Source organism: Homo sapiens, chromosome 5 (genome assembly GCF_000001405.40).
Source record: "Homo sapiens chromosome 5, GRCh38.p14 Primary Assembly".
Classification (NCBI taxonomy): domain Eukaryota; kingdom Metazoa; phylum Chordata; class Mammalia; order Primates; family Hominidae; genus Homo; species Homo sapiens.
In genome coordinates this window covers 127,444,577-127,465,871 of record NC_000005.10, presented here as the reverse complement: position 1 = coordinate 127,465,871, position 21,295 = coordinate 127,444,577, and the positions used below count along the sequence as shown (strand labels likewise).

Sequence of the window (21,295 nt, the reverse complement as noted above, 5' to 3'; positions counted from 1 at the left end):
ATTTTTCTGTTTCTTAATCTTCAGTATAAAAAAGTCCAGGTCATCAACATAGAAGGAAGTACAGCATGCCATAGGCCAAGAGCCACACAAGGCTTCCAAAATTTTCAGGTTGAATTTTTTTTCTGATTCTTTAATAGCAATTCAATTAATCCAGATAAACAGGAGCATCTGTCTCACCAGTCCATCCTGGCCAGATTATCCAGTGCCAGTCCATCATGTAGGTTCCTTCTCTTCTTCCTGTTGCCACTGTCTCTGTCTGGTCTAAACTAGTTGGGGTCAGAGATTTGAAGCAGAATGAAATGAGAGCTATTTAACAATCTGCTGTCAGGTAGCCATTGCTGTCCTGGGAGGAGGGACAGCTTATGCTACCGCTGGAGAATAGCAGGCAGGTGCATAATCCACTTTGCCAGGCAGTCACCTGTCCTGACCTATGTGGCTTTCTCCCTATTCCTGCTCCCATCTTACACTTTTCCTATTTGATGCAATTATCTTTCCTGTGTAAGCCATATGTTAATTCTGCTTGTACAATTCTAAGTTTGTTTTTCTATCCTTAGAGTTCAGAAATTTGACTAGGATGTATTTCCCTCCATAGTATTTTATTAATTCTGTTTCATTAACGTGGTAAATCCTTTTATATCTGAAATAAAGATCTGAAGATCTGAGATTCATATTATGGAAAGGCGTAGTTTATGGAAGTTTTTTCTATTATTTCTTTGATTTCTACTTCTCCGTGGTTCCTTATTTCTCCTTCTGGATTAGCAACTACTTAACTATTGGGTCTCTTGGACCAGTCTTTTCTGTTTTCTCAACTATGATTTCAATTTTTGAAAATTTACTCTCCTAAGTCTCAGCAGTTAACATACAAAATTCGTGTGCAAAAATCACTAACATTCCTATACACAAACAACAGTCAAGCTGAGAGCCAAATCAGAAACCCAATCCCATTCACAATTGCCACAAAAAGAATAAAATACTGAGGAATACAGCTAAGTAGGAGGTGAAAATCTCTTCAAGGAGAATTACAGAACACTGCTCAAAGAAATCACAGGTGACACAAACAAATAAAAAAAGTTCTATGCTAATGGATAGGAAGAATCAATATCATGAAAATGGTCATACTACACAAAGCAACTTATAGATTCAATGCTATTCCTATTAAACTACCATTGACATTCTTCACAGCAGTAGAAAAACCTTTTTAAAAATTCATATGGAGCCAAAAAAGGGCCCAAATATCTAAGGCATTCCTAAGCAGAAAGAACAAAGCTGGAGGCATCACACTACCTGACTTCTAACTGTACTACAGGGCTACAGTAACCAAAACAGCACGGTACTGGCACAAAAACAGACACATAGACCAATGGAGCAGAATAGAGAACCCAGAAATAAGGCCACACACCTACATCTATCTGATCTTCTACAGGTCTGACAAAAAGAAGCAATGGGGGAGAGATTCCCTATTTAATAAATGCTGCTGGGATAACTGGCTAGCCATATGCAGAAGACTGGAACTGGACCCCTTCCTTACACCATATTAAAAAATCAACTCAAGATGGATTGAAGACTTAAATGTAAAACCCAAAACTATAAAAACCCTGGAAGACAACCTGGGCAATACCATCCTGGACATAGCAACAGGCAAAGATTTCATGACGAGGATGCCAAAAGCAATTGCAACAAAAGCAAAAATTGACAAACGGGATCTAATTAAACTGAAGAGCTTCTGCACAATAAAGGAAACTATCAACACAGTGAAAAGACAACAGAATGAGGGAAAATTTTTGCAAACTGTGCATATGACAAATGTCTAATATCCAGCATCTTTAAGGAACTTAAACAAACTTACAAGAAAAAAACCATTAAAAAGTGGGCAAAGAACATAAACAGACACTTTTCAAAAGAAGACATATATACAGCCAACAAGCATGTGAAAAAAAGCTCAACATCACTGATCATTAGAGAAATACAAATCAAAACCACAATGAGATACTATCTTACATCAGTCAGAATGGCTGTTACTAAAATGTCAAAAAATAACAGATCCTGGCAAGGTTGCAGAAAAAAAGGATCATTTATACACTGTTGATGGGAGTGTAAATTAGTTCAACCATTGTGGAAGATAGTGTAACAATTCCTCAAAGATCTAAAAACAGAAATACCATTTGACCCAGTAATCCCATTACTGGGTATATACCCATAGGAGTATAAATTGTTCTATTATTAAAGACACATGCACACGTGTTCTTTGCAGCACTATTCACAATAGCAAAGACATAGGATCAACCTAAATGCCCATCCATTGCAGATTGGATAAGGAAAATGTGGTACACACGGAATACTCTGCAGTCATAAAAAAGAACAAAATCATGTCCTTTTCAGGAACATGGATGGAGCTGGAGGCCATTATCCTTAGCAAACTAAGGCAGAAACAGAAAACCAGATACCACATGTTCGCACTTATAAGTGTGAGCTAAATGATGAGAACACATGGACACATTGAGGGGAACAACACACAATGGGGCTTATCGGTGGGAGGAGGGAGAGCATCAGGAAAAATAACTAATGGGTACTAGGCTTAATAACTAGGTGACGAAATAATCTGTACCAAAAAACTCCATGATACATGTTTTCCTATGTAACAAACCTGTATATGTACCCCTGAACTTAAAAGGTAAAAATAAAAATAAAAATAAATAAAAACATATTGCTTTTGTTTTTACATCCTTCTATTGAATTTTTTAAATTAGGAAATCATTATTTCTAGTTCCAGGGGCCTCTCACTTGTCCTGTGACTGTAACCCTTCAAGAGTTTTAATCATATTTTATCTAAGTTTTCTTCTATTTTCTACATTAGCTCTACCTCCATAGTAGAGGCTTATTGCAGTTTTTCAGTTTAATCTCTTCTAACTGGGCTGCAATGTTCCTGAGTGGGTTGTGATCTTTCTTTGTCTATTTATACTGAGAGGGTGCAGGTTTGTATTGCCTCTGATTTGACAGTTAGGGTAGGCATTTTTTCTTTAGTGACTAGCTGGTGATTAGTTTAGTCCCTTTGTTGTTTGTTTATTTGTTTCTTTTTTGAGACAAGGTCTCACTCTGTGGCTCAGGCTGGAGTGCAGCGGTGCGATCATGGCTCACTGCAGCCTTAAACCTTTAGGCTCAAGCAATCCTCCTATCTCAGCCTCCCGAGTAGCTGGGACTACAGGTGCACATCACCATGCCCAGATAATTTTTTGTATTTTTTGTAGATACTGGGTTTTGTCATGTTGCCCAGGCTGGTCTCAAACTCCTGGGCTCAAACAGTCCTCTTGCCTCAGCCTCCCAAAGTGCTGGAATTACAGGCATGAGCTACCAAACCCAGCCTTATCCCTTTTACTGATGTAAGTGGCAGAAGGCCTCAGTTCACGAGTCCAAGTGGAGATAGGTTGACCTCAGCCCAATGTGGAAACTGCCTCTCCTAAGTGCCATCACCCGGGGAACAGTTTGCCTCTTTCATTGCCGCATAATGCAAACAGCAGAAACATTTCTACCTTCCCTTGTCTTTGTGTATCCACCCAAGATAGCTGACTCTCATCATGCACCCTCTCCACCTCGCATTAACTCTCATTTACATCTTTAGCCCCAACTGGCACATTCTTTCAAGGACTTGATGCCTCCCTGTATGCAGAACCCCTTCTGGTTGCCAAAACCAGCCCTTGACTTTTTCTGGATGGTCATATTCTCTAGAATGTTCCCAGGTCACCATTTTCCTCAGAAACTCACATCCAAATGTTGTAAAAGCATTCCTAATTCCAATTAGATAACATGTTACTGGAAAATATAAACATATTATTGCTTTCCTAAATTACATCTCTAGAAATAAAATATGTATGGAATTTTGTGCTAGTATAAAAATAGATCAGGATATGGTCATTCAAATGTATAGCTTCTATAATATTCATTAAATACTCTCTTCTGATCTATTAGCCCCATCATTCATCTGGTTATTGCAAACTGGTTCATATTATTAGCTAATTTTTCATAATAGCAATGTCAGCTAACATTTACGAGGTGCTTAGTGTATGCCAGGCACTGAAGTGTTTTGTATGTATAAAGTTATTAAATTCTCACAAACCCTATGAAATTTATTGTACTGTTACTTCCAATGTATTGCAATATAGAAGCCAAGGCCTTAAGAGGCTAACTTAACCCACAGAACCAGTCACACAGCCAGCCATATGCTTTATTTCCCTAACTAAATAATGAAGGACTCCAAAACAGCTCATGCCTTACACGTCTCTGCATCCCCAGCTGTGCTTGGCATTCAGGGCCCCAGTAAAGAAACAGCTATTGAAAGAAGAAACAATGTTTTACTCATGTTTGATCCCTGCTCCGCAGTGCTATAATGCAAATGTTTCAAAGATGTTTTAGTCATAAATGAAAGTACTAATGGGCACTGAGATTTAGAAAGCAAATCCACATAAGATAACCTAAAGCTAGTTACAGAAGACTTGACTATCAGCCCCTAACCTGAGTTCCAGGGATCCAAATATGAATAAAATGTTGCCTCTGTCCTTCAAGAACAAGAAAAAATATTATTTTTTCCATACGAGCACAAGGTTTTTTCTCTCATTAATCAACAGTAGAATCAGATATAGAAAGAAACACTAGAGTTTTTTATTAGAAAGTTTATTGCATTAATCTATAAACTCATTTGGTGATATAAATGACAATGTAGGCTAAGAACGATGAAAGTTTATCATCTTTGGAAAATAGAGATATTTCAACACTGAAAGCATTTTTTGTTTGTTTGCCACAACCAAGTAAACCCTAATGTATTTTGATTTTTCTTTTTAAAAATATAGATTGCAATTCAGTCATATCAAAATGAAGCCTAGACCAAATACTGAACTAGCATAAGCAGACCCAGTGTTAGGACATCAATATTAACAGGACTCTAAACGGGCAGTTTGCTGTACATCTTTAGTTAATAAACAAGCAAACATCCATACCACGTAATTCACACTTGCATATGCATGTACACTTTCATGATGTGAAGCCTTTAAGACCAAAATCTCTCTTAAACATTCAGCTTGAATAATAAAGACATGTTGCCTAGAGATAGAAAATTCATTATTTTAAAAAATATAACCTTAAAACTTGATTTTTTATGATTTTATTTTAAGCATAAAGTGGACTACTAATATTGACATCAATTATAAATGATATTGTGGTACCCTTGTTTAACTTTTGCAATATTTACCATTTAAAAATCTCAATAATTGACAGCTACTGTGGCTCTTTGGGGGTCAAGATGACCACACTTTCATAAAGTTGTTTGCATTTCTCAGAACACACAGTCATTATGCTGATGGATTTGGTTCAGTCAGGTTATAACTGTCCTATTATAAAGTTCTATGGTTGGTTTTCCTGAAATTGGTGAATATAAATTCCATAAAGATAATGCTAAACATATTAAACTCTCTGTTAACATTACTACTGTATCATAGGACAGCAATTAATGTCAAACACTGTAAATAATTGTAAAATGTTCCTCACTATCATATAATTAACCTCAAATAACATATTTTCCTTATTAAAGCAAACATGAGTTATCATGTGGGCAAGTTCTGATGTACTTATATATAAATACAAATAACTTATAAATTTTCTGATACATCAACTTCTAAGGAAGGAATAATAGTTTGGCTAACAATACTATATGAATGGCATTTGCTAAGTATCTCTAAACTCCTTTACTGCTTTGACCACCATGGGATACAGAAAGGAAATTAGTTATAGGGTCCAAAATTAACATGGGTTCAAAGTTCATGAGAATAGATTCACTTGGTATGAAGAGTGACATCAATGTCAAATTAAATTCGATACATCTGGAAAAGTTCCTAAAGTTTGTAATTTCAGAGGGAAAATTTTGCCAAGATTCTTTTGTTTTCTCTTTAATTCTCATTCTAACAAAAGTATTCCTTTCTTTACCCAAATTGATATCAAAATATTTAGAAAATTTTGCCTTCTCAACAAGACCTCTCCAAATGTAACACGTAGTTTTACAACATCCAAATTGCTATGTGTGTCCTGATGTTTGAAAAGTCCTGAGTAAGCTCTAATAAGAATTGCCTCAGGTACAAATGTCATTTCAGGACATCAGCTAACTGGAGTGATTTACTTGTCAAAAAGAGCACACAGGAAGGGATGGCAGTGGCCCCTTGGAGTCCACATCTATTGTCCAGATTTTCTTTTTTAAGTTGCTGTTGCCTTTGTACAGCAAGCTTTCAATTTATTAATAGTGGAATAAGAAAAGAAACAGTTGTTTTTTTGACCTAGCTCTAGAGAACAATGGGGAAATTCAAATTTACCATGCAGCTCTGAAGAGATGATCTTTAAAAGGGAGAAAATGTCTTATTTCTTCTCACCAAAAAGGACCCCGATGGCTATTGACTCACACATGTCTCAATTAGATGCCTATCACCTAGAGTTGGGAGCCAGCCAGTGGTTAACTATTGGAATAAATCAATTGTTTCTAAGGCCTGTTCCAGGTCATTCCTTATTTCCTTGAATTGACTTTGGAGTTCCTCAAAATGAACAGCCACCAGTGCAGTGAGTGTTCTAAGTGTGTCTGCTGTATTATCCATCTGACCAAACCACCATCATACGTGCCGATGTGTGACATGAAATAACTGGATATTCCAACTCGATACCTGGCAGGGATAATCACTTATGTGCACTACTAGCAGAAGGGTTGCACATACGTATTTGTTAACTGACTCACTGAGACAGAATGCCATATAGGATTTCATGTCTTTAAAAGATTGAAGACCACTGTTTCTCTTATAAAGTTGTTTCCTTATTCAGTTTTTCAGCCCCTTTGCTTGGTCAAGTAGATCAACAAAAGGGAAACTGGCTTTCCTGCATTGTGTCAGCATTCTCATATTGCAAGATAAGTCTGGTTTGCCTGGAACAGTCCAGATTTAAGTTCATTACAAGATAATTATTAATAATGCCCTCCATTTACTCTCAAGAGTGTCCCAGTTTGGATGGTCAATTCTATGATCACCATAATGAGAGTTTTTTTTAAGATGAGTCTGTGGTACTCATCAGTAACAACGTTTCCTTTCTGCTCCCCTTCTCCCTGGTTTAACCAAGGCTCAGCACCAACAGATCAAAAGGAACTCTATTTTGGAATATTAAAAAGCATTTCTACTTCATTTATAAGCCAATCACTTGTGGTTACTATACTATTTTAGTAACGACCAATTTTAATCAATTCAAATTATATATTTTCATCTTGTCCCTCCAAAAGAAAAAAGAACAACGCATTTTTATCAAGCAAAAGATAAGTGGCAATAATACAAGGAATAACGAACATATAATATTTTTTCATTAACAATCCAAACACTACAAAACATAGAATATGCAATTTAAAAATGGAAATACAAATTAATGAAAAGTTGGGTACATGTCACATTAGCAATGCAAAAGACCAGCTTAAGCATAGTTTCTCTAAATTGACAATTAATAAAAGGAAAGTTCCCTTTCTCAAATATGCACAAAAATATTTCAGTCACTTCTAGGGAAAGATTAATCAAAATGTTCCACTAATTCTATATTACAGCATGTATTACTAATGGTTTACAGAACGTAAGCGTCATCTTGCATTTAAAATTTACAACCTTTATCAATCATTACACACTCATTCCATCCAGTCTGTCAAAAATAAAATTATTTCATTTCTATATTTATGAAATAACTATTGATATGTTATGAATCTCAAGTGGTGAATATGTATGATGGAGCCAGTGATCAGAATAATGTCATAGATCTGAAGTTGGTTGAGAGTCAAACAGAGAAAACCACCTCTGCCTGGCACATTTGTGTATTGACTTCTGCAATACTTCCTACTATTTCTAAAATAATTCTAATTGTATATTTTCTCATTCTAAACAAAATCTAAGATTTTCGTAAATTTTCTGTCCACTTTTAGAGTATATTCAAAGTCTGTCCAGTCATACCGCCTGACAGAATGTTTCCTCCTGCATTCATATTATCCCTACAATTCTGAGTCCAGTTGAATAAAGTTAAGAATCAGGAGTTAACAATATGTTCCTTGTCTTCTACATGTTCAGTGATTCCCACTTTCATGAAGTAAATTTTATGGTAAACTGTACAATCCTAGGTAGAGCTGTATGATGCAAATGAGAGAGAAAATATTCAAATTTTAATTTTTCAAGCAACAATCCCAATGTCCACTGCAACCTGCGTCTCCGAGGGAGTTCTGCAAGTTCATGCTTTCAGCCAACATCTTACAATAAGTCATGCTTCACGGGTATAGTTCTAAAACTAACAGCAATGGGAAATCACATCTCTAACTCCTTCGAATCCACCTGAACAAAAAGCACCTACAGTCCGTGTCAGCCTCAGCTTTCAGCTTTCTGGTTCATGTCCAAAAATTGCCCACCGAATTGACTAACATTCACATGAAAGTGGCAAAATTGAGGATGGAGAAGAACCAAACAGCAGTTCTGGAAAGGGTTCCAGTGGCTACCAAGCGGTCCTTTGGTGTCATTCACTGCTGCTGCTGCTGTTGCTGCTGCTACCACCACTGTCCTCTTGCTTAGGGGAGGATGAACTGTCTCGGACTGGCAGCAGGTCATAATGACAAGGGATGTGACTGTTCTTTGGGAGGTCATATGGATCCTGGGAGAGACGCCCATTATTGCTGAATACTCCTTGGACAACACTCACTGTAGGTTCTGTGATAACCAAGGACATATTAATTTATCAGCAAAGGAAATGTTTTTAAAAAGAATATGGCATTTCTTGCAAATGTCAAACACACCAAAGGGACTTTTAAAAAAATATAAGGAAATGCTGGTTTTAAAAACATGATTTTAAAAATCATCACATACAGGTGGCAACTCTGTGTAGTTGGATCAACTGGCAAACACAAATGGTGTTCAGAACAAAAGGAGGACCACATAATCGGGATGAAGATATTAAGGGAATATACAGAATCCTGGAAATAAATCATGGTCTGAAAAACACCTTGGGGATAAGGTAGGCCAAGCCCCTTATTCCACAGGTGAGAAGACTGACATTCTCAAACGTTAATTCAGTTCATGAAAACACTCAACATGTTCAGAACTTTAGGACTCAAGACTCAGGCTCTCATTTGAGTTCCCATCCTACTGTGGCAGGTTTGTGGGACAGTTTAAAGGAGAATTGTTACTGACTTTCCAAAAATAAATTTAGTTCACTTTGACTTGCATTTTAAAAAGCTGTCTTAATACTTTAAAAATAAATTATTTTGTATATTTTTTCCCAGGGATGTATCTGGCATAAAATAAATTACTAGTAGTAAAGTAGGCACTTCATTTACAAGTAGTAGAGAATATTTTAAAGTTAAAATCATAAATACTCAGAGAGACATAGAAATAGAGACAGAGAGAGAGAGAGAAATGAAAATATATAGCCCTATTGTTTAGCCAAGAGTAGTGGTGGAATGTTTTATCATTTCCCAAGTGGTATCTGCAAAAGACAATCAAAATAACTCCAATTTTAAATTGAATTCATATTAATTTGCATCACATTCACATCAGAGAATATTACTGCTCTTTTGGACAAGTTTAAAAGTAAAATGTTTCAATCTTGCTAAATGCATTATATTAATATAATGAACCAGGAAATGGAATCACCTGTTTAATCCACTTGAACCATTTGTTTCGGCTAAGTAGATATATTAGCTAATATGATACATATGCTATCCACATGTGTGCCAAAATATTCACTATGGTTACAAAACAAAAGATGGATGATTAGGTGAAAAATAAAGAAACTTTACCTTAAATTTTTCTAAATAATATTTTCCCTGGAAAATTCCTTTGGCACCAATTAATATGATCGCTAAAAACACAGGTCGCATCTATTAATAAAATATGGTGACAAAACCCCGTCTCTACCCAAAATACAAAAAATTAGCTGGGCGTGGTAGTGCGTGCCTGTGGTCCCAGCTACTTGGGAGGCTGAAGTGGGAGGATGGCTTGAGCCCGGGAGGTAGAGGTTGCAGTGAGCCAAGACTGTGCCACTGCACACCACCTGGGTGACAGAGAGACCCCATCTCAAAAAATACATAAAATAAAATAAAATAAAATAAAATACGGACCATTATTTTCAATAAGATTTCTATGACCTGCAACTATTATATTCGTAAAGACTTTAAAATTGTTTTTAAAAACTTAAGCACTCGGTTCTTTCTATGGTTAAGGGAACTCACCAACTTCATAGACATTCCTGTTGGCTGAAGTTGAGTTATTGATCTCTGCATATGGGGAATCTCTTCGTGCCGGCGATTTCATCTCCACATAACCACACTCTGAGCTTTTCGGGATAAGTACAGGTGGGTCTTTAATAGTGGCATATGGGTTCTCAGAACTGCTTAGGGAGCAGTTACTTGAATTATATTCAGAATTCTTTCCCAGGTCTGTGAAGAGAAATGAGAAGAGAAAGCTAATGCTGTGTCACTGGCAACATCATTTCTTGGTGATATTTTACTGTTTTTCTTTATAGCTAGGTTTCCATAATTCTACACACTGAAAATAATACTGTACCTTTTCCACTTGTTTTGGAGAGAATCTGCTATAAAATGACCCATCCCTAAAGTAGTTTTAGCTCCTCTCCAAGATGAGTACTGACATCAATATCATTAACTGATTTCATTTTTATGATCACATTAGAATATAATCAATTACGTTTTGTTTTATTAATAGAAAATTTACAGAAGTTCAATCAAGAAACCAGCTGTTGATGGCCCCAGGAGCACCAAGAGGGCTCTATTATCATGACAAGAAGGCATTTGTGCTGGGAGGACTCCTAGTAAAAGCTCTGTACTAGGCATCTAATCATGCACACCCATCCTGAACAGCAGAACTTGGTCAACATGTAACCATGTGGATCTTTTCTTATTGTCCCGGCTATTTCCCTTTATATGTTTCCGTCTCCCCATAAGCCATATTTCTTTTAAATGAAATATGAGTGTTTCCTCAGCAAACTGAATCTTTTGTTCCCCAAAGACTTAAGCTCTACCAAGGACCACCTCTGGTCACTTTCTTGATGTCAGTCACACATGTTTGTGTGTTTGCTGTAGTAACTGACCACACTAAAAATTCTACATTTTCTCTTGCCATTCTAGCTTGTTTAAAAACTATTTCAGTCTTTGAGGTTAAAAAAAATTTAATTGTGCTTCTGATTTCTTCTTCAAATTTACATGATACCTTTTAAGGATTTTCCCATATAGCTTCTGTCAAGTCCAAAAGCACCTGTAATAAAGGAAGAAAAAAAACACCCAGTGAGAACTGAAAGGAAGAAAAACCCCATCCAATATCCCAAGGTCCTGGAAGAGGATCTCCCACTGCAGCAAACAACCAGGCTGCTGCTCTTCAAGCCTTTACACCAGATCAGTTGTCCCAGATGTCCCCAGTGCCTAGAATTAAACACACACACATTTGGTCATTCACCTAGTCATTTACAGTGACTCAGGAAAAGCTAGTCAAAACAGGATAGAAACTGAGGCCCAGAGATAAATCAGTATACTTGATTCAAGGTTGCACAGTGAAAAGAAAGGATACAGCCAAGACCAGAGTTGACATTTCATACCTACGTGCAGCTCTTTCAAGGCTCTGATGGTTTTCAAATAGTTTTCCCAATAATCATTATTCGGTTATATTATTGTCTTCACTATAAGCATGTTTTCTGGAGACTGGAAGCTTCGAACACTGTTGACTAATACTTTACAGGTGATACTAGCTCTTGCCCTTCTTTATTCAGCTTTTCATAATTTGACTTTTCCAGGTATGGGGACATAATTGTGTATGAGCCTAGATACACACAAAAAAACCTGCTTTCTCATTGGAAAATGGCCAGCCTTTATTTCGTGGGTGTGGGGAGGGAAATAGGAGTGTTCCGGCTCATGCTGGAAAAATTGAGCATGTAGGCAAGAGAACGTGCAACCACTTACAGAAATCAATCAGGTCACAAGCATGTTGTATAAAATATAAGCATTTAATCACAAATTCGCACTACTAAAAACAAAATAAGACGACATTACCTAGCCCATTTTATACTATCTGGTGTATACGTGCAAAATTGCATTGTTAATACTGCATGGGAGTCAATTATTCTATTGGAGCTGTGTTGTGACAAAAAAGGAGAAAACTATAGATTAGGAGACAAAGGAATTACATGTTATAACTTATTGGCCATAGGACTTTGGGCAAGATGTTCCACCCTCTGAGTGTCAATTTTCTCATCTCTAAAATGGGGAAAACAAAATTTGCCTTCCAGCCTTCCAGGGTTTTTGTCATCATTAAGTGAAACAGAGCATATGAAAAGGCTTTGTAAACTCTGAAGCACCATACAAATGAAGTGTGTCAATTACTCTAACGCTCAGTGCATTATACTACCCTCTGCTTCAGTCTTTCCTTAAGCACTCCAAGGCATTTTCAATTGCCTTTCAAAAGAATATTACAGGCCGGGTGCGGTGGCTCATGCCTGTAATCCCAGGACTTTGGGAGGCCAAGGTGGGTGGATTGCTTGAGCCCAGGAGTTCAAGACCAGCCTGGGCAATATGGCAAAACTTCATCACTAATCTTTTGAAATACAATACAATAAGAATGTTACAGACTTAGGTTAAAAGCAGAGAGTAAAGTAACAACTAGCAATGAACATTCCAGGTAAGTATTTGAGAATGTTAAGGAAACGATATCCTTGCCACTGTGCATGCATCTCTTAGAGAGATGTTAAGCTCAAGTTCTGATGTTGGTGTCCCATGGGGATCACTGAGTAAGCACACACTGTTGTGGAGAAGGAAGCAGCCTCTCCTAAAGGGAGAGGGTCTGTCAGATATCAATCATCGTGGGACAGGAAATGGGAATATTTTCCTCTCTCAGGCACACTCTCTTGCATCTGGGTTGTGAAGAGTCTAACCAAGCCCATAGCTGGGGGGAAGGGCACACGGTTATGCAGGGAGGCAGCATAAATGGGTGTGTAGTGAAGAATTAACCTTATCAAAGAAAGGGGTGGCCTTTGCCCTCAGCTCCTGGGAGGTGATCTTGAAGTCCTTGGACTGTCCTGCCCAATAGGAGTGCTTTTGTTCACCCGGAGGCCCAGGGATACACCGGATAGTGTAACCAAGTGATTTATGGTGGGGGGTTTGGGCCATATGGTATCATCTCCACCTCTGGAAGGGGAAAGACTAAAGGTCAATCATGTCTACATGATGGGAGTCAATCATGTCTATATGACTGAGCCCCCCATAAACTGTAACCATGAGAATGCCCATTCAGTGAGTTCAGTGACTCCTTGTAGCAAAATGTTGATCCTGAGGGTCGTCTTGGTGATCTTTCAACTTGTAGCTGATGTCAGAAGTCAGGGTGGTCTTGGGAATTCCCAGACTTTATAAAGAGGACCCATGAAGATGGGGCACAGTCTGTGGCCTCTGAGAACAGCTTTATCAAGGAGCTCTGTCTATGCTCCTCTTTGCCAAATACTCTTGGCCATCTCCAGACTGTAGCAAAGTCTTATTAAATGCCCATTTTAATCTTAGCTGTGCAGTGGCTAGCCTTCCACCAAGGTGTGAAAGAGAGAACCAGCATGGAGCAGATAGTAAGTTAGGGAATAAGAGCTGGGGCTATGAGGCCAGACACCCCTGCCAGATTCTGTCTTCATTGCCTTGGAGGATCAGGGAGCTGTTTTAATGAGGGAGCAGTCAGGATTCCCTATAAACTCCTATATACACCCATCCCTGGAGCAGGGCTTTCAAATGCTTGGTTTAATTTAATTCACAAAACGAGCCAGTACATGCTTATTACTCCCATTTCACAAATGAACGAATCAAGGGTAAGTGAGGGTAAGTGACTGGCCCAGTGCTATATCTCAGGGTCTTTTGTGTCTAGTTCAAGGCTCTTTCAGATACCATGACGACAACTATTCCATCATTTAAAGCACCTGTAAGCTTTATCATCCATAACATGCCTGACTCTGTCCTTTGTGAAGAACTTTTTCTGTGCAACAACTTTAAAGGGATGTTAAATGCAGAATTATTCCTGAGTGAGAACAAACCAAGAAGATCCAGAATTTCCAATGAAGATCCTAGGTTCCTAACACTCAGTCCCTTGGGTCTCATTGAGCCAGAAAGCAGAGACATTTACATGTGACCAGTACAGTGATGCCGTATCTTCTGGAGTCTTCACAGTGGTCTAAGATAGAACAAGATGACTTTTCTTTCACTAGCGCTGGTTGGTATTTTGCTGAATATCAATTCATATATTCCTTTGAGCTAAATTATAAATGTAATTAAGACTCCTAAAAAGTCTCCTTTAATGTTAGATGATGTTACCAATAAGCATATTGTGAGTCTCGTATGTAAATAATTTTACTGTGGTTAGAAATACTCATCCTATTGATAAAAATGGTATAGAATACAGATAAAAGTTAGGAATTTGTACAGCGAGCGTGATAACGACTACACTATGGAAATGACTAAGAATTTGTATTCACCAGTAAAACATTTTTATTTCCATAGAAAGAGGCATTCCCACAGGGATCAGTTCCTATGACTGGCTCAGAGAACTTGACACTGCTTACAGGAGAAGCAGTGTTTAAGGGGAGCAGTCAGAAGATCAACTTTGAAATCTGGCTTTACCCCTTTCCTTCTTTGAAATTTCAGACAAGAGGGTTAACCTCTCTGTGCCTCCCAGTCTACTCCTCTACAAAACAAGATTCACAGGAGAGAGTCCACCCAGGAGGATCATCCAATTTAGCAAATGGGCCAAGTGTGGTGGCTCATGCCTGTAATCCCAGCACTTTGGGAGGCTGAGGCAAGAAGATCACTTGAGGTCAGGAGTTTGAGACCAGCCTGGCCAACATGGAGAAACCCTGTCTCTACTGAAAATGCAAAAATCAGCCAGGCATGGTGGTGCACATCTGTAATCCCAGCTGCTTGGGAGGCTAAGGCAGGAGAATCACTTGAATCCAGAAGGCAGATCTTGCAGTGAGCCGAGATCGCGCCACTGCACTACAGCCTAGACGACAGAGCGAGACTCTGTCTCAAAAACAAAAACAAAAACAAAACAAAACAAAACAAAACATTAGCAAATGAAAATACACAAAGGTCAGTTATATTAAAATTTAAAAGAAACAAAAAATAATCTTTAGTGTACATCCCATGTAATATCTGTGATATGTTTATACAAAAAAATGTGTTGCTTATCTATCTGAAATTCAAATTTAACTGGGATTTCTGGCACCTACCTCCAAATAAATGTACGTGAAAGGATTTGCTATCCGTAAGACACTGCACACCTGTAAGTTACTACATCATCAAACTCCTGTCTGAAAATATGGGTTACAGGCTTGGAAACTGCACTGCATAATTAATGGTATATCACAGAAGTTCTTTAAGTATGGACCAAGCATTCCTGCCCCCTTTTCAGGAGGCCTATGAGATCAAAACTATATATACACATATATATTTTAAGAGGTGAGTCTCGCTATGTCATCCAGATCAGACTCAAACTCCTGGGCTCAAGCAATCCTCCTGCCTCAGGCTCCCAAGTAGCTGGGGCTATAGGCCTGTGCCATTGTGCCCAGCTGCAAAACTATTTCCATAACAATACAACAACAATATTTGCCGTTTTCACTCTAATTCTCTTTCAAGTGTACAGTGGAGTTTTTCAGAAGCTACATAAAGTATGAGATCAAAACCAACTGAACGTAAAAGCAGACATGATAATCCAGCTATCTTCTATTAAGCTGGACATTAAAGAGATTTTTTTATAAAAATGTAAAATAGCATTGCTCTTCTCGCTAATTTTGAAGGGTTTTGGAAAATGTAGTTTTTTTTAATAAAAACACAATTTATGTTACCATGAAATGTGATTATTATTAATTTAAATAAATTAACATTCTATTTTTTCCAGTTTTTATTTACATATTAAATTTCATTTAGTATGGTAAATATAAATAGATATAGCCCCTATCAACAGAAGCTCTTTTGGGTCCTCAATAAATTTTAAGAATGCAAAGGAGTCCTAATTTCAAAAAGTTGCCCGAACCACTGATCCACTGTATTCCTGTTGGTATCTCTGATTCCTCACCTGAAAGGGAAGGGGATCTCAAGTACAGATACCCTATATCAAAAGAGAACAAGGAAGAGCACACAGCTGTGAGCCAAGCTGACAGGGTCCAATACTAGCTCTAACATTTAACAGGCGATGAGGTCCTGTGCAAGTAACATAACCTTGTTATGACTCAGTTTCTCAACTGTAACATGCAGATGGTGATAACAATAGTACCCACCTATTAGAGTACTTGTGAGAATTAAGTTAACAGGCATAGAGCAAGAATGTAAGCTACGAGCAGGCAGAGATCCCAATCTCTTTTGATCAATTCCTGGCACATAGTAGGAACTCAATAAATGTTTGTTGAATAGATAAAGCCCTTAGGACAGTAGATAGCCCTGTACAGGTGTTAGGCATAATTCTGCTATTGTGCTTTTTGATGCAAGTTTTCAATAGAACACCTTGGCACAAACAGAGATCCGTGACTGTTTCAGGGACTGACAGGTCAAGGTGCTTCTGGGGACGTGCGTTGGGAGAACTCACCGAGCTCGTTGAGGTAGCCGCCATGTTTCCAGTCAGCCGGCAATGTCCCAGTGCAGTCCCCCACAGGGCCTCTCTTCCCAGGGTTCACATTTTTAAGATTCACAAACAGTTGATTGTTTTTTGACTGTTAAAAATATAAACAACGAAAGATTAAAAACAAAATACAATGCGGCACAGCACAGCGTTATGGACCTGGGGAAAAGTCCAGGGCACATATTGAGGACCAGTCCTTAGAGTGACCTGAGCTCAGGGGCCGAGGTGACTGCTTGTAACCTGGTGGGACTTGCAAGCTGGCAGGAGTTCATGTCCTTCAGTCCTAGCTACTCCCTCCACCACCTCAAGATCTTCATTTCACTCTGTCATCCTGTGCCAATTAGACCTTATTTGGATTTATACACATGTAACTTTGATTTGGAAAAAAAAAAAAAAAAAGAACTCTTGGTCTAAGTTCTTCCATCAAAAATTGTATGTTTGTGTGAATCACAGGTGACTCTTAGCAGTTATCCTAGGCGTAAACATGAGGATAAGATTATCTGCTTTGCCTCCTTCCCTGAATTTGTATGAGAATAAATTGATGAATGTGAAAGTCTCTGGGGTATGTGGAGTGATATTTAACCATGAAGCACTATAATTAAAATCTATAGCTGCATTAATTAAATTACAACTGGATTAACTTAATTAGCTTGATTTTTTTTCTAATAGAGCACTGGAATTAGACAACAGAGATTAGAAATATAATTTGGGTATGACTGGAAGAAAGAAATGTTTGAGACTTCAGAGCATTGTGGGGAAGACCTGGGGTGAGTTGGGTGCTATTGGAGTAGCAGCTCTGGGTTCTAGACACTCTGTCTCCAACCTCTCTGTGACTCAGTTTCCTCATCTGTAAAATCGGCATAATAATCACTCTTGATTTATAGGACTGGTGTGAAGATTAAATGAGTTTATATTTTTAAGTGATTAGAAATGCTTGGCACATAATATTAGGTTGTTGCTATGTGACCACTGTTGACCTACAAAAATAGCAATTTCATGTGGTTCAACCCAAATCAGTGCCTATTACTGTTGTTGTTACTAAAGCACAGGTGGCCAGGAACGGGTACTGGAGGACGGGCGGTCAGAAGAGACACACTTGGAGATTTTGCCCACGGCTGATTCTGCTATAGGTCTTTATGTTTTTGTTAATGTCATTATGAGTCATTATTTTAAAATCTCATGTAAAATTAGAAACGTTTTTCTAAAGCGGTGTAATGGAAACAGTACAGATTGTAGAGACAGAGAGACTTTGACTCACACAGCAGCTGCCTCACTCATTATCGGGCAGCTATGTCTGGAAGTAACTTAAACTCCCTACTACTCAGGTTTTCATCAGTAAACTTGAGATTCCCAAAGCACACTCAGAGGACTGTTTAGAGGAATAAATTAGATAATATATGTAAAGTACCTAGAACAGCCTCTGGTGAACAGCGGCCCTCAATAAATGCTGGTTCCCTTCCTCTCTCCCCAGCCCACTTCCAAAGACTTGAACCAATTCCTCTCACCTTCGTGACAGTCATCCTGTCCCTGTTGTTGACGTGAGGGGATGTGGCACACTGGGTGAGCGTGTGGTAACTGGGATTGGTGAAGTAGTGGCTATTAGCGTTTCCACCATTGCTGTGAGGAAGGGTTCCTGCAAGAAGGGAAGGAAATGGTTAAGGCAGCAGGCTCCCATAAATGTGTGTGAAAAAAGGGAATCAAAATAACAAAACAGGCCCAGCGAGGTGGCTCACGCCTGTAATCCCAGCACTTTGGGAGGCCAAGGCGGGCAGATGACGAGGTCAGGAGATCGAGACCATCCTGGCTAACACAGTAAAACCCCATCTCTACTAAAAGTACAAAAAAAATTAGCCGGGCACGGTAGCATGCGCCTGTAGTCCCAGCTACTCGGGAGGCTGAGGCAGAAGAATCGCTTGAACCCCGGAGGTAGAGGTTACAGTGAGCCGAGATCGCACCACTGCACTCCAGTCTGGTGACAGAGCGAGACTCCATCTCTAAATAAAAAAACAAATAAATAAATAACTGAACAAATGTCCGGACTCCTTCCATATCACAAGCTGGGCAGAATCTCCTCCTGCCCAGCCTACTCAGCAAAGCTTCTAGAAGCAACAGGCCTCTACCTTCCTAACTGCCTCCTTGGAAAAGTATGAAAGCTTGTGAACAAATGTGAAACTGAAAGAACCAATTATTTAAGATCCATAGGAGTGGCTGCCTAGGCCTAAATTTAAAATCGAGTCAAGCAGGCCTTTGCTGACTAAGGATCACACCTGTACTCTGAGTTCCCTGAAAACCCAGCTTTTTATCTTTGGGTCTTTCAGAGCTCAGCTGAACCAACCAATCAGAGCTTACCTGCCTTAGCTAATCAGGGCTTAGCTTTATCAAAGGATCAGGGTTCCGCTGTGTCAACCAACCAGAACTCAGCTGCACTGATCAATTAGAATTAAACCAGTTTCAATCCTTCACTTTCCTAAAAGGGCCTGATTGGAAGCTGGGTGGGGACTTTTGCTATAAAACCCAAGCCTTCCCTTTGTTCTCTGAACTGCACTTTCATTTTACACTGGCTGCAACTCCTGGGTTTGCAAACCGTTCACTGGAATAAAATCTCTTTCCCCCAAATTCCTTTTCAGAGAACTTTTGTTCACAGTATCCACAGATAACTGCTCTTTGCTTTGGGGCTGGTACAGCTGGGAAGGTATCATTTGAAGCTACTCTGCAACTTTCCTTTTTTTAAACACTTGAGTTCTTGACACAATAATTCTGCACTGAAAATGCACTACTATGTAAATCAGCTACTTCTCATATTTCCACGGAATTTTGTAGTTTTAAACATGTAACCAACCAGAAGGCCTTCAATAATCACCCAAAAAGTAATAAAGATTTTAAACTTTTAAATTCCTCCATGTAAATGGTTGCTTCTACTGATGATTGATTATAATTTTATTTTTCCTTTTATGAGGCATTGTGACAGAACAGAAAAAATCAAGAGTTTTCTTAAAGGGCTGCCTTGGTTCTTGCTAATACCAAAAAGCTGTTTCTGATATAACTTTGTTCCCTTCAGTTAACGATTCGGGTAGGCCTAGGGAGAGGCTGGGAAGCACATAGAAAGTACCCTCATTCAGAGACAGGAGAACTGGTCCCTAATCTGATCCATGACCTTGGTAAACTTATCATCCTCTCTTCCTCCTCACCCCCCTCACATATGACAAAAGCTTGAGGCTGGATACAAAGCTCCTTATGGATTGAAATTCCCTAAATCTAAACCACAAACACAATGAGCTCAATTTTAAAACCCTTATAGCAAACCACAGAATGACAATTTACTATTGTTGAAATAAAAAACTCATCTCTAGCAATGTATACCTTTTCCAAACATAGAATTCTCTCAATGAGAATTGACAGAAACAATGGACAGCACAGCCAAACACCCAGTTTTAAAGAACCCGAATGAAATTTAACTTTTCAAGAAGCAAAATGCCTCTCCTGCCTCTGCTCTTACCTGAAATGGTATAATCTGCATTGACGACCCTCATAGCAGGGGTGTAGGTAACTGCTGGCATGCTTGATTCCTTTCCCTTCTGCTTGTGTCTATAAATAATGAACAATGCCAGTAGGAAGAGAACAACTAGGACAAGAATGATGATGCCTGCAATGGCCCCGATCTGGTAGGAATCAGCAGGGAGAGCAGTACTGGTTCGGCTTAAGCTGTTCAGATTTCCAACTATGATAACACCAGCTAGAAAAAGAAGAGAGACTTGAGAAAGGATGACAATGTGCTGGATAAACGTTTGATCTCTACTTACAAAAACCTCCTTCTGTGCTAATGCCTGCATATTTTCAGTTCATAAAACATTAATTTGGAAACAGAGCAGGAAGAAAAAGCAAACATTCCTCATTGTCAGATGTTGTCGGCCTATCCATGCCCAGAGAAAGGCTGCTGTAAGCCTCAAAAAGAGACAGAAGCTGGGCACAGTGATGCGTGCCCGGAGTTCCAGCTACTCAGGAGACTGAGGCGGGAGAACTGATCTAGCCTAGCAGTTAGAGACCAGCCTGGCCAACATAGCAAGACCCTGTCCCTAAAAAAATATAAAGAAAGAGACAGGATTTTCTGAACCCAAAGAGATTCAACAGTAGGATTTGAGAGCTTCTTATATATTTCCGATTAAATACTTAGACTGGCAATTAATTTGGGGTAACAATTTATCTAATTTTTATTTTGCTTTATTTATTATTCAATACTGAGCTTATGCAGAGTTAAATGCTAAATGTCCCAACTGCTTAACCAAATTTTATGTCTATCCTTAGCATTTCTAAGAGTAATTTTCCTTCCAAGCAAGCATAACACCATTATAAATCTAGTCTAAGAACAGGATCTACCTTTTGCTAATTTCAATGGGTCTTTTACCTCAGAAGATATTGTTCTGTGCAAAGTTATTTTCCATGACAGAAAGATTTGTCCTGATAATACCTGATAGCATTACCCTAATACCTTACTCATTAAATTCAAAATTGGGCATTACATAGTTCTTCCTTATGGTCCGTCAAGTGATAACGCTAAAGGCATGGGTTGAGATTCAAGAAATCTGGCATCTAAAAAAATTGACCTAGATATTCTG

At 38.6% G+C, this 21,295-nt stretch overlaps 1 protein-coding gene across 5 annotated transcripts in view; it reads right to left on the bottom strand.

Moving 5' to 3' along the window:
* MEGF10 (multiple EGF like domains 10) overlaps positions 4,650-21,295 on the bottom strand; it is a 231,923-nt gene continuing 215,277 nt past the window's right edge. For all 5 annotated transcript variants that reach the window (XM_017009987.2, XM_011543694.1, NM_032446.3 and 2 more), the window contains 6 exons: positions 20,179-20,415; positions 18,188-18,315; positions 16,650-16,773; positions 11,262-11,306; positions 10,265-10,471; positions 4,650-8,744 (listed from right to left, as the gene is read on the bottom strand). In XM_017009987.2, coding sequence (XP_016865476.1) covers positions 8,554-8,744; positions 10,265-10,471; positions 11,262-11,306; positions 16,650-16,773; positions 18,188-18,315; positions 20,179-20,415 — 932 coding nt within the window. In that variant the 3' untranslated portion in view covers positions 4,650-8,553. The remainder of the gene's footprint in view (positions 8,745-10,264; positions 10,472-11,261; positions 11,307-16,649; positions 16,774-18,187; positions 18,316-20,178; positions 20,416-21,295) is intronic.